Here is a 12001-nt window from a genome sequence, read left to right on the forward strand (position 1 = left end):
TGATTCCTGACAGGTTCACCTCTGAAACTGGCCTGACTTAGTAGAGCTGAATGTCACTCTCAACCTGGGCTGGCCAGCTGAGCTCCTGCAGAAGGCTGCCAAGCCTGCCGGTGTAACCACTGAGCAAAGGGAAAGAGACTGAAAACATTCGTCATTCCCAAATGATAAGCATTATTGTCCCTATGGTGCTCTTGTCTTCCAATACTTTTTTCTCCATTTTTTTTCTCAAATACTCATGCATTACTTCTATAAATAAAAAGTTTTAAAGTTTGTTTGCTTTTCACTATCCCCATATTGGCATTAAAGAGAGCCAGTTTATCAGGCAGCATTTGAGGTAAGGAATGTCCGTCTCTGGGACCCTATAGATCCTGGGTACCAGATTACACTCATCTTTCTGACTTAATTTCCAGAGTGGATAGCAGCCCCTACCTAAGCACAGCCCCCTCATTGGGCAATAAGTCAGCAACAGCAATGCTGGCCACACGGGAGGCCCTCAGGTGTCCTCACCCCACCCCTAGGTTTACTGACAGGTACCCTGCAGGGGAGAGGGTGGGGCCCTGAGCTGGACTCCACCCAACACTGCCACCTCCCCAGCCTGTGTCCTCCCTACCACCCGAGGAGCTGAAAGACCCAACAGCACACCCTCAGTGGTTTCTGAAAGGAAGCAAAGCTCTTTCTACCCTTTTTCACTTTGGGTGAAAACGTGGCTGGGTTGACAAGTCAGTTTTTTAGAAAGGAAGCACTGACTAGCGAGGGACTCGCCCAGCCAGAAGAGGGCTCTGCAAAGACAGCCCCATCCCCAGGATGGGAATGCTGGATTCAGACACCACAAACCAAGAGAACCCAGACTCTGGACATGGAGCAGTACCAGGGTGAAAGACTTTTCCCACCGACATGGTCACATAGCCATTCTCCTTGAAGTACTGGGGGATGGTGGAGAAGTTTCCAGCGTGCACCCTCCAGTAGGAGTTGAAGTCGTACAGGCGGGTGGTGTCAGGTCTCCTGCCAGTGAGGAAAGAAACGCGGCTCGGGGCGCACACTGCTTGCTGTTAGGGAGCAGAAGCAGAGGTAAGCATCGCCACAGCAAAACATGTCTGCCATCTCTTAGGTAACCAAGCAACCGCCCTCCCGAGGCTCCTAGCAAACAGCTTGGTAGCTGAGTCATGCAGAGCTCAAACCAGACACTGGGATTTGGGTGTCACCTAGGCAACAGACTGCTTCCGGGAGAGAAAAGGGAAGCAATCAGCCCCTGAAACCAGCAGATGCTTATCTCCTCCTACGCAATGGCCTCCCCAGGCACACAGAGCGGCCAGTGTTGCTGGGGGCAGAGCCATGAGGGGGTTCAGGGAGCAGGGCCACCCTGGCTAGCTCTCACCTGAGGCCCAGCCTGCAGACCTGTGGGTGCCCTTCTGCAGCACCCCTTCCTTCTGAGCACCAGGCAAGCGCCCGTTCTGGGAGAAAGCTGGCCAGGGCTGCCATGAACACATCAGGGCCAGGGCGCACCTTGCACCCAAGGAGAAGGCCACCCTTGAAGGTCAAGCTTTCCCATGAGTGGAAAACCAGATTTTCTCCACTACCATTTTCCAGACTATGCTTCCCTCTAACAAGATGTCCCGCACAATCTGTGCCATCTGACAATAGCTGAAGCTCCCCGCCCCCAACCCTCAGTGCACGAAGCAGCACACACCCACAGCTAGAGGTTCCCAGACATACCTGCGCAAAGGCATTCTGGAAGAGGAGGCTGTGGGATGCCAGTTGGTCAATATTTGGGGACCTCACCAGCTTATCCCCATAACAGCCCAGGGAGGGGCGCAGGTCATCCACGATGATGAGAAGAACGTTCAGAGCATCTACACAGGAGGGAGGGGCTTTGGTGAGGTAACCTGCACTGACACTGAACCCTCCCTCATGGTAGGTGCTAGGTTACTAAGAGGCCCAAGGCTGGACCCTGCACCTTAACAGCCTAGCCAGGGAGGGCGCTGTGCCTCAGCAAGGGTGGGAGTGGGGCTCGAGGAGGAAGCCTGAGTCCTGGGTGGCAGGGTTAGGCTTTGGTCATGGCCTCCAACCTGGGTGAGGAAGCGAGATAGTGAGTGAAAGATGGTGGAAAGGAAAGATGAATTTAGGAAAAAAAGAGAATGATGTATGCAGGAAAGGACAGATGGTTGGATGGAGGAAGATAAGGAGGAAAAGATGAATAGCTGAAGGGAAGAAAGGATGGAGAGAAGGAGGGGAGAAGAGAGAGAAATATGAATGGATAGAAGGTAAAAGGGACGGATGGACCAATGGAGGGAGGAAAGGAGGGGGAAAGATGGATGGATAGAGATGGGAAAGATGGGGGGAAAGAGGAAGGGAAGCACGGAGGGATAGGAGATGGATGGATGAATAGATGGAAAGAGGGAAGGGAGGGATGAAGGGACGGTAGGAAGGAGTGAAAAATGGAGGGAGGGAACGAATGATGGATGAAAGAAGGAATGGTAGGAGAGAGGAAGGGTAAAAAGAATGGATATAAACAAAGAAGGAAGGAAAGAAGGAAGGAGGAAGGAAGGGAGGGAGGAAGGGAGAAGAGATGGCAGGGAGGGCGTGGGCGGCACCTGTGGTCGAGTTGGCCTGCGTTTCGGATCCGAGGGCGACGCAGACGGAGCTCAGAACCAGACCCAGCCAGAGAAGGCCTCGGCCGGTCCGGGGTGGCGGCATTTCGGCTTCGACGCGGCCGCTTCAGAGCGGCGGGGACAGGCTGCAGCAGGTGGCGCAGTTAGCAGCCGCCGCCGCAGCCACAGAGACCTCCTCGTCGGGAACCCATGAAGACTGCGCAACACAGCCGCCGCCCGGGCCCGCAGGCCCGGGCGCTGGCCGCAGCGCGAGTGCGTCCGTGCGACTCTTCCCTGCGTCCCTCCCCTCCGGGGCGGGTTCTAGAGGTGCGCGTCATCCTGCAGCAATAGGCGTGGCCGAGAGACAGGCGCAGAGCGGGGGCGGGCCAGTTGCCTTGCAAGCTTCGCAGACCCAGCGGCCCGCAGGCCCCTAGGTGTAGAACTGCTAGGGGTATAGCGATTCAGCCACTGCCCTTAACAACTAGCAGTTACCCGTCTTTTTGCCTTTGCTTGTGCTATGCCTTTCACCTGGAAGCCCTGCCCTTCCTTCTTTTTATAAAAGACACACTTCTTGTAAGCCAGCCTCAATGCCATTCTCCTTCCATGAGGCCTTTTGAGAAAGTCCCTTCCTCCATCTAAAGGGACTCCCTTTCCTATTCATTTCTTCAACTAATTCTTATTAAGTATCGCAAATATGTATACCAGGCGCTGTTGGTGGCACTGGGGCTCTATGTCCCTGCTTTGGTGGAGCTTAAAACAATAAAAAAATATAGAGAGTGTCGGTGGGCATACCCGGTCTGGAGAAAAATAAAGCGTGGGTGCGGGGCATGCTTGTTATTTTCTATGGGGTGGCCAGGCAGGGCCTCACTAGTGAAGTGGCATTTGAACAAAATTTTGAAGCAAGTGAGGGAGCAAGCCGCATTGAGGTCTGCAAGAAGGGTGCGCCAAACAGAGAGAGCAGCAATTGTGGGGAGATGGAATCCTAGCCCTACACTGTACTGTACTGAATACTATTATACCGTCCTAATACTGCAAACACAGTTTGATTTTCAACTTTGAGAATCAATCTATAACAAAGCCCAGATGACTTAATTATGACTAAACAACAATGGACAATGGGAAGGTACAAATACAGCTGTGATGGTGCTGTGGTGCACTGCTCAGATCTCCCTTCAACACCAAAAATTTTATTTCCCTAGCTGGCTTGAGAGCTGTTAGCTGTCGTTAGCCCTCATCAGAAATTGTCTTAGAAAAAGATAGGTACCTCAGCCAAGGTCACCCCTGTTCTCAGGAAGCCCACATCAGTGATTCAACTTGAAGGTACAAAGGTGCAGCCCCTTACCCCAACTTGGGACATCTCTGAAAGGCCATTTCAGCTTCAGAGCTCCCTGTGGGGTTAACTGAAGCCTTTTTTGAGACTGCCCACTTTCTCTGTCTGTTGAATTTTGATTTCTTCCCTCCCCTCCCCTTCTACAGGTGTTGATCCTAAGAGTACTCCCTAAGAAACTTCCTGCACATTACTCTACATCTTAGTCAGCTTCCTTGGGAACCTGGCCTGCAGCAACAGTTGACAAAAAGCTGGGAGGAGGAAGGGAGATGGCAGGAAATGTAGGCACATTAATTTAGGGTTAGCAATTTAGGATTGTCTCCTTTGCCCCAGCCTATCGCAAAAAAATAATAATAATAATAATAATAAATCAATAGTCGCTGTCCCCAGTTCATAGAAAGAGAAATACAGATTTAGGGATATTACTTAAAGATACAAAAGTAAACAATAGAAAACTTAAAAATGGCAATAAATCTATATAGTAAAAGGAGAAGGGAAAATGGCAGGGAGAGATGAAACAAAATTTGTCATGAGTTGATAACCAATGAAGTTCATTGATGAACACCTGGGGTTTATTATACTATTTTCTGTAATCTTGTATAGGTTTGATCAATTTCCAAAATCCAAGGTTAAAAATATGTACATAAAAAGAGGAATGGATAAGTGATCTCATCTATCATAGGAAGAAGTCAGCAATGTCTAAAGTTGAAAACATTAGAAAGTTGATATAGAAATAGCATAGTATTTAGAAAGACAGGGACAATCTACTAGAAGAAATGAAAGTAGAAACATTTAAAATGAGAACAGAAGAGGGAAGGTGCAGGGCAGAGGGCCTTTGCTTTGTATGGTATGTCTTTTGGTCCTTTTTGACTTAGGTGTTAGTGTCCTCCCCCCAAAAATTGTATGTTGGAGTCCTAACACCCAGTACCTCAGAATGTGATCTTATTTGGAAACAGGGTCTTTAACAGGGTAATCAAGTTAAAAGGAGGTAATTGGGTTGGGCCCTAATCCAATATGACTGGGGTCCTTATCAAAAGAAAAAATTTGGACACAGACACAAACACATAGAGAGAAGACATCCATGTGAAGACAATGGATTGAAGTGATGCATCTACAAGCCAGTGGATGCCAATGATTGCCAGCAAACCACAAGAAGCTAGGAAGAGGCAAGGAAGCATTCTTCTTCTATAGGTTTCAGGGGGTGCATGGTCCTGCTGGCACCTTGATTTAAGACTTCTGGCCTCCAAAACTGTAAGACAATGCATTTCTGTTGTTCTAAGCCATGTAATTTGTAGTACTTTGTTACAGCAGCCCTAGAAAACTAACACTACCTATAAACAATTCAAAATTTAACAAGATTGATTGTCTCAGCTGGGATAGAAAATTATATATGCCACTTGGCACAATTGTGTGTGTTTGTTTTTGTTGTTTGTTTGCTCTGGTGTAAGCTCGAGGTTTTGCTGGGGCTCATAGCAGCAGAAGGACAAGAGTGGGAGCAAGTGGAGAGAGCCAGTAAGAGAGCAGTTCAGGTGGCTGACAGTGGTTAAGAAGACTGGTGGACTGGGGACAAACAAAGATCTAGGAGATGGGTGAGGATATAGAGAGGCAGCAAGGGTGTGAGAGTACTGGTTTTAGTCCCAGAATGAGACCCTGAAATTTAAGATTTCTGAGGTAAAACAGATCCTGGTGATTTAAAGGTCAAGGATGTGGCCTTGAAGCTGGGAGGCTGAGGTGGGGGGGAAGAGATTGCTAGAGGTTAGAGATGAGGAAGAAGTCAAGGGTCTGTGAGTGGCACAGGCTGCTGATGAATACACTGCAGTCCCCCAGAATGATGACAGGACACAGGGTACCAAGGTCACCTGTGAGCCTGGTACCTGAGTCTTCAGTGAATGAGGGATAAGGGCCAATCAATGCTATGTAACAAATGACCACAAGCTTAGTGGCTGTAAACACTACTCATTTGTCACCTCCTACTTTCTGTGGGTCAGAAATCCAGGCACAGCTAAGCTGGGTCTTAGGTTCAGGGTCTCAAAAGGCTGCAGTGAAGGACTACATTCTCACTTAAAGCTCGGGATTGTGGATAGCACAATCCACAGGTGCTCAAGTCCTTTATATAAGATGGTGCAGTGTTTACATATAACATACATACACATCCTCCCGTATACTTTACATTACCTCTAGATTACTTATAATCCCTAATACAATGTAAGTGCCATGTAAATAGTTATTATACTGCATTATTTATGAAATAATGACAAGGGAAAAAAGTCTGTACATGTTCACTGCAGAGACAACCACCCATCTTTTTCAAATTCAACAGGTGGTTGAATCCACAGATGTGGAACACATGGATAAGGAGGCTGATTGTAGTACATTCTACCCATACACAAGGGGTCACATACACTAGGAGGCAGGAAACTTGGGGGCCATCTAGAATGGCATCTACCACAAAAGAGCCCTATCTTGAGTCTCAACTCCAACAGATAACAGAAAATTTAATCTAGTCAATTCCACATTTTCCCAGTTACTTCGGGATTGTCTTACTAATTACCAATTATTGTTATCAAGCAATTTAGGATTGTCTCCTTTGCCCCAGCCTATCACCTAAATTCTGTGAGACTCTTAAATTCGGAGAGAGAGAGCAAGAGAGAAGAGAATCTGCTTGTTGTCAATGGCAACCTGTCCATGCCAGCATCCACTCCCAATGTACAATCCCATCCAGCGCTCAGAGATGGCATACCTTCATGCTGTCTTCCAATGTGGTGTCGTCATTCTAACCTGGTTCCTAGCTGCACAGTCCATGCCATTTTCTATGTGACATTTTTTGGAGACGTGCTCTCCCTCTCGCTCTCTCTCTCCCCCTCTCCCTCTCCCTCTCTCCCTCTTTCTCTTTCCCTCTTTCTCTCTCCCTCCCTCTCTTACCTCCTTGGAGGCACGGGAAAATTCAACTGCTTTCCCATGCCACTTTAGTGTCACAGGAAGCTCAGGGGACTGCTCCAGACACTTCTGCAGCTAAGATATGTGGATTTGGTGTGAGAGGAGTTCTAGGACTCTGGACCTTCTAGGGTACCATACAGCAAAGGGAGTCCCCTTGCTCTTGGACTTCTACCCTACCCCCGCCTTTGAGCCTAACTCCAGGAGGAGGGGACAATGCACACTGGCAAATTGGTATATAGTCCCACACAATGGTAGGATGAGGATTCAGGGGAGAATTCAAGATTTGTCTCTCATTCCAGATCCAGGGATCCTTGGATGGGCACCCCTCAAGGGCAGGCTCTGCCCTGTCCATTTACTACTGTATCCCAGGGGCTAGTACCTTCGTGGGGTTTCAAGGGCTCGGGATGAGAACCATGATGAGAACTACCTGGATGAGGAAAGGGAGTGTCCCAGGCTGTCCTCAGCCCAATGCCAGTGAGGGCTCTCTCCCCTGCAGAGTCATAGGGAGGGCCCTGGGCTCTGTAGGCACGTGAAATGGTGTTCCAAGGAGGAGTCTAACGTGGGCTGTGAATGTTACCCAAATGCGCTGGGCACGGAGGGCACTGTTCCCAGAAGAGACTATCTCAAGGTGCGTGAGGCAACGTGCTAGAACTCTGCTCTCAATCTGAACTCTGGAGAGTATAGATGGTCATCCATAGGCATCTAGTTCCGTAGCCAGGTCTGTGCTACCCTGAGGACTAAGGTGCAGCAGTAGCAGCCCTAGGCTCCCTGGGGTTCCAGAGGAGTGAAAGTGAATGGCAACACAGCCAGAATCTGATTCTGTTTTACTTCCCAGGAAGAAGTGAAGCCGCATGGAGCATGAGGGGGCAGCCAAGGGGCTGGGCATCACAGAAGCCCTGACATTTGCTGGGCTCCTACCCTGCATCACATACTATATCAAAAACTTTAGGAGCTGAGATATTCTCTCACAATGGAAGAGGTTAGTCTCAGTCCCGTTTGCCTGTGGACATCTTGCATCGTCCTCTGAACAATCTTTCCCTTCCTTCCTCTTCTTTCCAGTTCTCGTCCCACCGTCTTCCCTCTCTTCTTTTCTTTTTTTTTCTCCCCTCAAGCCCAAGACTTTCCTGTCATGCCAGGCAATGATTCAGCCACTTCAGTTCTGGGTGGATGGATAGGCAGGGCTTAGAGCAGGCAACCCTCATGCTGTCAAAGCCAAAAAGTAGAGGAATTATAAAAGCCTCCACCAGGGGTTGCCTAAGCTCTGGTGTTTTGCCCCCACTACTTTAAAGGCGATTCGTTTAAAACAAAACAAAACGAAAAACAACAACTTACTTTGTAAAGCATAAGCTTAAAATAAGAAAAACAGAAGTGCCTAATCAGATCTTTGGAAGTATTGCATTGCACTGTCACTGAGTGATGTATGACTGGCTGTCTTTCTGTTTGGACTGCATTCATCTGAATGGAGTGGGTACATTGGCTACCGCCTTTTCTCCTGGTTTTCGCTGTTTCTCTTTGATCTAGAAACGATTTATTCTTACTCCCCCAGATTTCTTTATAAAAAGCCACAGGGAAGGGAAACAATGATGGCCGTTTGGGAATAAAGGAGGGCTCTCACAGTTGAAGTTTTCTCCATCTGGGCTTGGGTAAGGAGAAGGGCTTCTGGTCCCTCAGGCCTGTCAGTCATATACCTGGGACCTGTCCCGTGGTCATATAGACCAGACCCTGCACACCTGCAGTCTCAGGTTCTGACAAGCAGATATCTTGCAAAGCGGAGCCCACAGCTGGAATTCAAGGCAAAGCCCATCCCCTCTTGCCAGCAAGGCAGGAGTGTCCCTTCTGAAGTAAAAGCCAGAGGACAAGATGGACTGGGAAACACTGCAAAGACATTGCTCCTCGGCCTTTGGTGACGTTCCTCCAAGGTCCCCTCTCACAGGTGTGTTATGAGACATACCTCAGGCATGAGTGGACGCATCAACAAAAGGAATAGCTAAACACAGCCTGAAATAGGATGCCTTCAAGGGGACAAACAGAAGTGTAGGAGGAAGGATCTTCAAAGACATGCCAAATTACCGTGACTCATTACCATGGCCCTCTTAAGATCAGTGCTCGCAAGAAGTCAGTAGTTTATGCCAAACAAGTATAGCAAGAAGAGCAACCTTGCTGGGTGGGTGAGGAAAATCAGTCCTCTTTTCTATGACATGAGACTAATTATTAAAAGAATTTCAATTTTGTCTTTACCAAGACATGAGTTCCTTATGTACTGCATGCTGTCTTCTGCTTTTTATTTGAAGAAATGTGGCATTTGGGAAGCAGCAGATGTCCCCCCTGTGGAATCAATGTGAAATGATATTTTTGTAACATCATTAAAAAGTCTATCAAAATGGGAAATTTCTCTAACACTTTCTAAGGGACCAATAAAAACACTCAGAGGAGGAAGGCTTATCAGCGGAGATTCTTGCTAAAGGGCAAGTGTATTCACATATGAAACATAGTTTTCAAAGTCCTCAGAGCCCACAGCTGGGATTTCTTTCCATCGAATCTTGGAGCCTAAGCATTGCAGTTAAATCCTGGGCAGGAGCAAAGCCTCGAGGCCCCCAGTCTTAACCCTTACTTTGTATCCCAATGCAGAAACCACCAGCTTGCCCCCAGCTGGCTGCCTGGTTCCCACCTTTCTGATTGATGGTGGCTAAGCAGTCACATGATAGGGCAGTCTAAAGAGTATAAACTCTGTTGGCACAATGTCTCACACCTGTAATCCCAGCAGGCGTGGGAGGGCAAGGCAGGAGGATCACCTGAGGTCAGGAGTTCAAGATCAGCCTGACCAACATAGTGAAACTCCGTCTCTACTAAACACAAAAAAATTAGCGTGGCATGGTGGTGGGCGCCTGTAATTCCAGCTACTTAGGAGGCTGAGGCAGGAGAATCGCTTGAACCCGGGAGGCAGAGGTTGCAGTGAACCGAGATTGCACCACTGAACTCCAGCCTGGGCAACAACAGCGAAACTCTGTCTCAAAGAAAAGAAAAAAAAAAAAAGTATGAACTCTGGAATCAGACAGGCCTGATTTCAACCCTAGCTCCTCTGTGACCCTGAGCCACTGCTAAACTTCCCTGGGCCCCATCAGGAAATGTGAATCCCACAAACAGCCAGCAGAGGGACCCACTCCCAGCCTCCAGAAAGTACTCAATCAACTGGGCCTTTGTGAAGCAGGTTCTGCCTGCCTGGCCAGAGACTAGCTTGTGGAGTTCCAGATCCTAGCCTTCTTAGCCTGCTTCAGCTCCAGCCCAGATGAGGCAAAGCTGTAGCAATTGCTGGCTCTCCTGAGCCCCACATGGCTTGTATCATGGCTAGTGAACTTCAGAGAGATGCATAAGGGCCAGTGAAATATTTTCAGTTCTGAAGCCACAGCCTGTGCCATGTGGGGGTTTTCACCCTGCACTGAGGTGATGCATCTGGCTAGGCTCCAGGGCTTTGTGAGCATTTTCCTGAGGGCCCCATCTATGGCTACCATCATGCAGTGTAACTTGTTTTCAACATCAACAACGAGCTGCTCAAAGAATAAGTTCTCTTTTGAGACCAGCCTGGCCAACATGGTGAAACCCTGTCTCTACTAAAAATACAAAAATTAGCCAGGCATGGTGGTGCAAGCTTGTAATCCCAGCTACTCAGGAGGCTGAGAAGGAAGAATCGCTTGAACCTGGGAGGCAGAGGTTGCAGTGAGCCGAGATCATGCCACTGCACTCCAGTCTGGGTTACCGCGTGAGACCCTGTCTCAAAGAAAATAAAATAAAAATAAAAAAAGATTAAGTTCTCACAACAGCAGGCTGGAGGGAGGATGACATTAGCACTCTTCATACCACTGTCAGTCCACAGTGGGGTCCAAAGTCAAACAAAAGACCCCAACACCAGGATTGTTTTGGTATTCTTTTCCGATAACATCTTTGCGGATCAAATTCATCCCAGACTTTTCAACTCATTGAATCCTCACTGCTGCCCGAGGGACTGTGCACTACTTTTCTCTCCAGAGTAGCAATGCACAAACTGAGGCTTGGAGAGGGTCATTGCTGGCCCAAGGTCTCATAGCCCCTGGCTTCTTAATCACTATGCAACACTGCCACGGGCCAGGGCTCTGGGCTGGGCTGCTAGGCCCTGTGCTTTAAGGGTAACCATGATCTGCTCTCATAGGCAACCAGGGCACATGGAAGGTCACAAGGCTGAGAGCAGGGGTGGATAGGCAAGAGAGTTTCCAGAACATAGGCTGTCAGAAAACCCCAATTTTACATGGGGGAAAAGTACATTTTACAATTCAGGATCCAGATTAGTTCTAAGTTATTACTGTTAGCTACCAAGTCTGAGTGAGTAAGCCCTGAGCACCACTGTCTAAAGAAATTTATGGCCCTACAATGCTGAGATGTGGGTTCTACCATCCTCATGTTACGTGATGAGAAAGTGGACGTAAGCTGTCTAAGGTCACACAGCTAGTAAGTGACAAAGGCAGGACTCAAACCCAGTTTCAGCTAGTGAAAAGCCACCTCACTTATCCCCTGTGCTCTACACAGATTTGGTGAAGAAGGAAACGACAGAACGCGTGACCACAATAAGCACCATGAAGAGACCCTGGGCCATGCACTTGCTATAAGCCAGATCCTGTGCTAACTATTTCAGTTTTGTGGCCAAGTGGTGTCACCTAGCCATCTTGCCTCCTTAATGTTCACCCAAGTCAGGTGCTAGTCATGATAAGGTCTGCATTCGGACTCCTGTCAGGGAGAAAAACGGAGACCACAAAAACAAAAGCAAGACTTCCCTTGAAAAGCTGCTTTCAGGCATCTTTCCATCCTGCCAAAAATTAACCACAAACTTCCTAGGGACAAAGAGAGCTGCCAGCAGAGTAATGTTGAGAAGGCTGCCGCACAGCATCCTGTGACTTCATCTCCTGCAATTAATTGTGTCTCCCACTCGGCACCTGTGAGGAACATGCTATGATAGTAGCAACTGGGTGTCATGACCACATTTCAAAATTGGACTCTTAAAGCAAGTGACACCCCAGAATTTTGTGGGTGGACCCAGGCTCTGTGTGATTGCACTGGGAGGCCACACAGAGTGCAGGATTTCCCGACAGAAGACTTTGCGGGCAGATTTCAGTTATCTGAA

The 12001-nt window shown here is 48.4% G+C and overlaps 1 protein-coding gene across 4 annotated transcripts in view, besides 9 other annotated features; it reads right to left on the minus strand.

Annotated features, from left to right (window-relative positions):
- Window positions 1-627: part of a biological region, named in NCBI's record as "IDS recombination region", that runs on past the window's edge. NCBI's record gives its function as "recombination_partner: LOC106050103".
- Window positions 1-627: part of a non allelic homologous recombination region, noted in NCBI's record as "sub-region b, recombines with sub-region b' within the IDSP1 recombination region", that runs on past the window's edge. NCBI's record gives the evidence for it as "EXISTENCE:nucleotide sequencing assay evidence [ECO:0000219][PMID:9801874]".
- IDS (iduronate 2-sulfatase) overlaps window positions 1-2863 on the minus strand; it is a 28319-nt gene extending 25456 nt beyond the window's left edge. For 3 of the 4 annotated variants that reach the window (NR_104128.2, NM_000202.8, NM_006123.5), the window contains exons 1-3: window positions 2592-2863; window positions 1714-1850; window positions 869-1046 (exon numbers count right to left, since the gene is read on the minus strand). Coding sequence is in view for 3 of the 4 variants with exons in the window: in NM_000202.8 (NP_000193.1) it covers window positions 869-1046; window positions 1714-1850; window positions 2592-2694 (418 nt within the window). In the remaining variant the exon portion in view is untranslated. The remainder of the gene's footprint in view (window positions 1-868; window positions 1047-1713; window positions 1851-2591) is intronic. The other variant, NM_001166550.4, reaches the window with a different exon arrangement.
- Window positions 1442-1990: an enhancer, noted in NCBI's record as "H3K27ac-H3K4me1 hESC enhancer chrX:148585415-148585963 (GRCh37/hg19 assembly coordinates)". NCBI's record gives its function as "activates a minimal SCP1, AML or CMV promoter by ChIP-STARR-seq in naive H9 embryonic stem cells {active_cell/tissue: H9 hESC(naive)}" and the evidence as "EXISTENCE:reporter gene assay evidence [ECO:0000049][PMID:30033119]".
- Window positions 1442-2051: a biological region, named in NCBI's record as "H3K27ac-H3K4me1 hESC enhancer GRCh37_chrX:148585415-148585963".
- Window positions 1952-2051: a silencer, noted in NCBI's record as "silent region_21040". NCBI's record gives its function as "represses an Ori minimal core promoter by ATAC-STARR-seq in GM12878 lymphoblastoid cells {active_cell/tissue: GM12878}" and the evidence as "EXISTENCE:reporter gene assay evidence [ECO:0000049][PMID:35858748]".
- Window positions 2114-2615: an enhancer, noted in NCBI's record as "H3K27ac hESC enhancer chrX:148586087-148586588 (GRCh37/hg19 assembly coordinates)". NCBI's record gives its function as "activates a minimal SCP1, AML or CMV promoter by ChIP-STARR-seq in naive H9 embryonic stem cells {active_cell/tissue: H9 hESC(naive)}" and the evidence as "EXISTENCE:reporter gene assay evidence [ECO:0000049][PMID:30033119]".
- Window positions 2608-2767: an enhancer, noted in NCBI's record as "active region_30015". NCBI's record gives its function as "activates an Ori minimal core promoter by ATAC-STARR-seq in GM12878 lymphoblastoid cells {active_cell/tissue: GM12878}" and the evidence as "EXISTENCE:reporter gene assay evidence [ECO:0000049][PMID:35858748]".
- Window positions 7990-9189: an enhancer, noted in NCBI's record as "CDK7 strongly-dependent group 2 enhancer chrX:148591963-148593162 (GRCh37/hg19 assembly coordinates)". NCBI's record gives its function as "activates an origin of replication core promoter dependent on BRD2, BRD4, P300/CBP, MED14 and CDK7 cofactors, with strong dependence on CDK7, by STARR-seq in HCT116 cells {active_cell/tissue: HCT116}" and the evidence as "EXISTENCE:reporter gene assay evidence [ECO:0000049][PMID:35650434]".
- Window positions 9875-10169: an enhancer, noted in NCBI's record as "tiled region #15241; HepG2 Activating non-DNase unmatched - State 12:CtcfO, and K562 Activating DNase unmatched - State 12:CtcfO". NCBI's record gives its function as "activates a minimal TATA promoter and a strong SV40 promoter by Sharpr-MPRA in HepG2 and K562 cells {active_cell/tissue: HepG2 | K562}" and the evidence as "EXISTENCE:reporter gene assay evidence [ECO:0000049][PMID:27701403]".

Source organism: Homo sapiens, chromosome X, assembly GCF_000001405.40.
Source record: "Homo sapiens chromosome X, GRCh38.p14 Primary Assembly".
Classification (NCBI taxonomy): domain Eukaryota; kingdom Metazoa; phylum Chordata; class Mammalia; order Primates; family Hominidae; genus Homo; species Homo sapiens.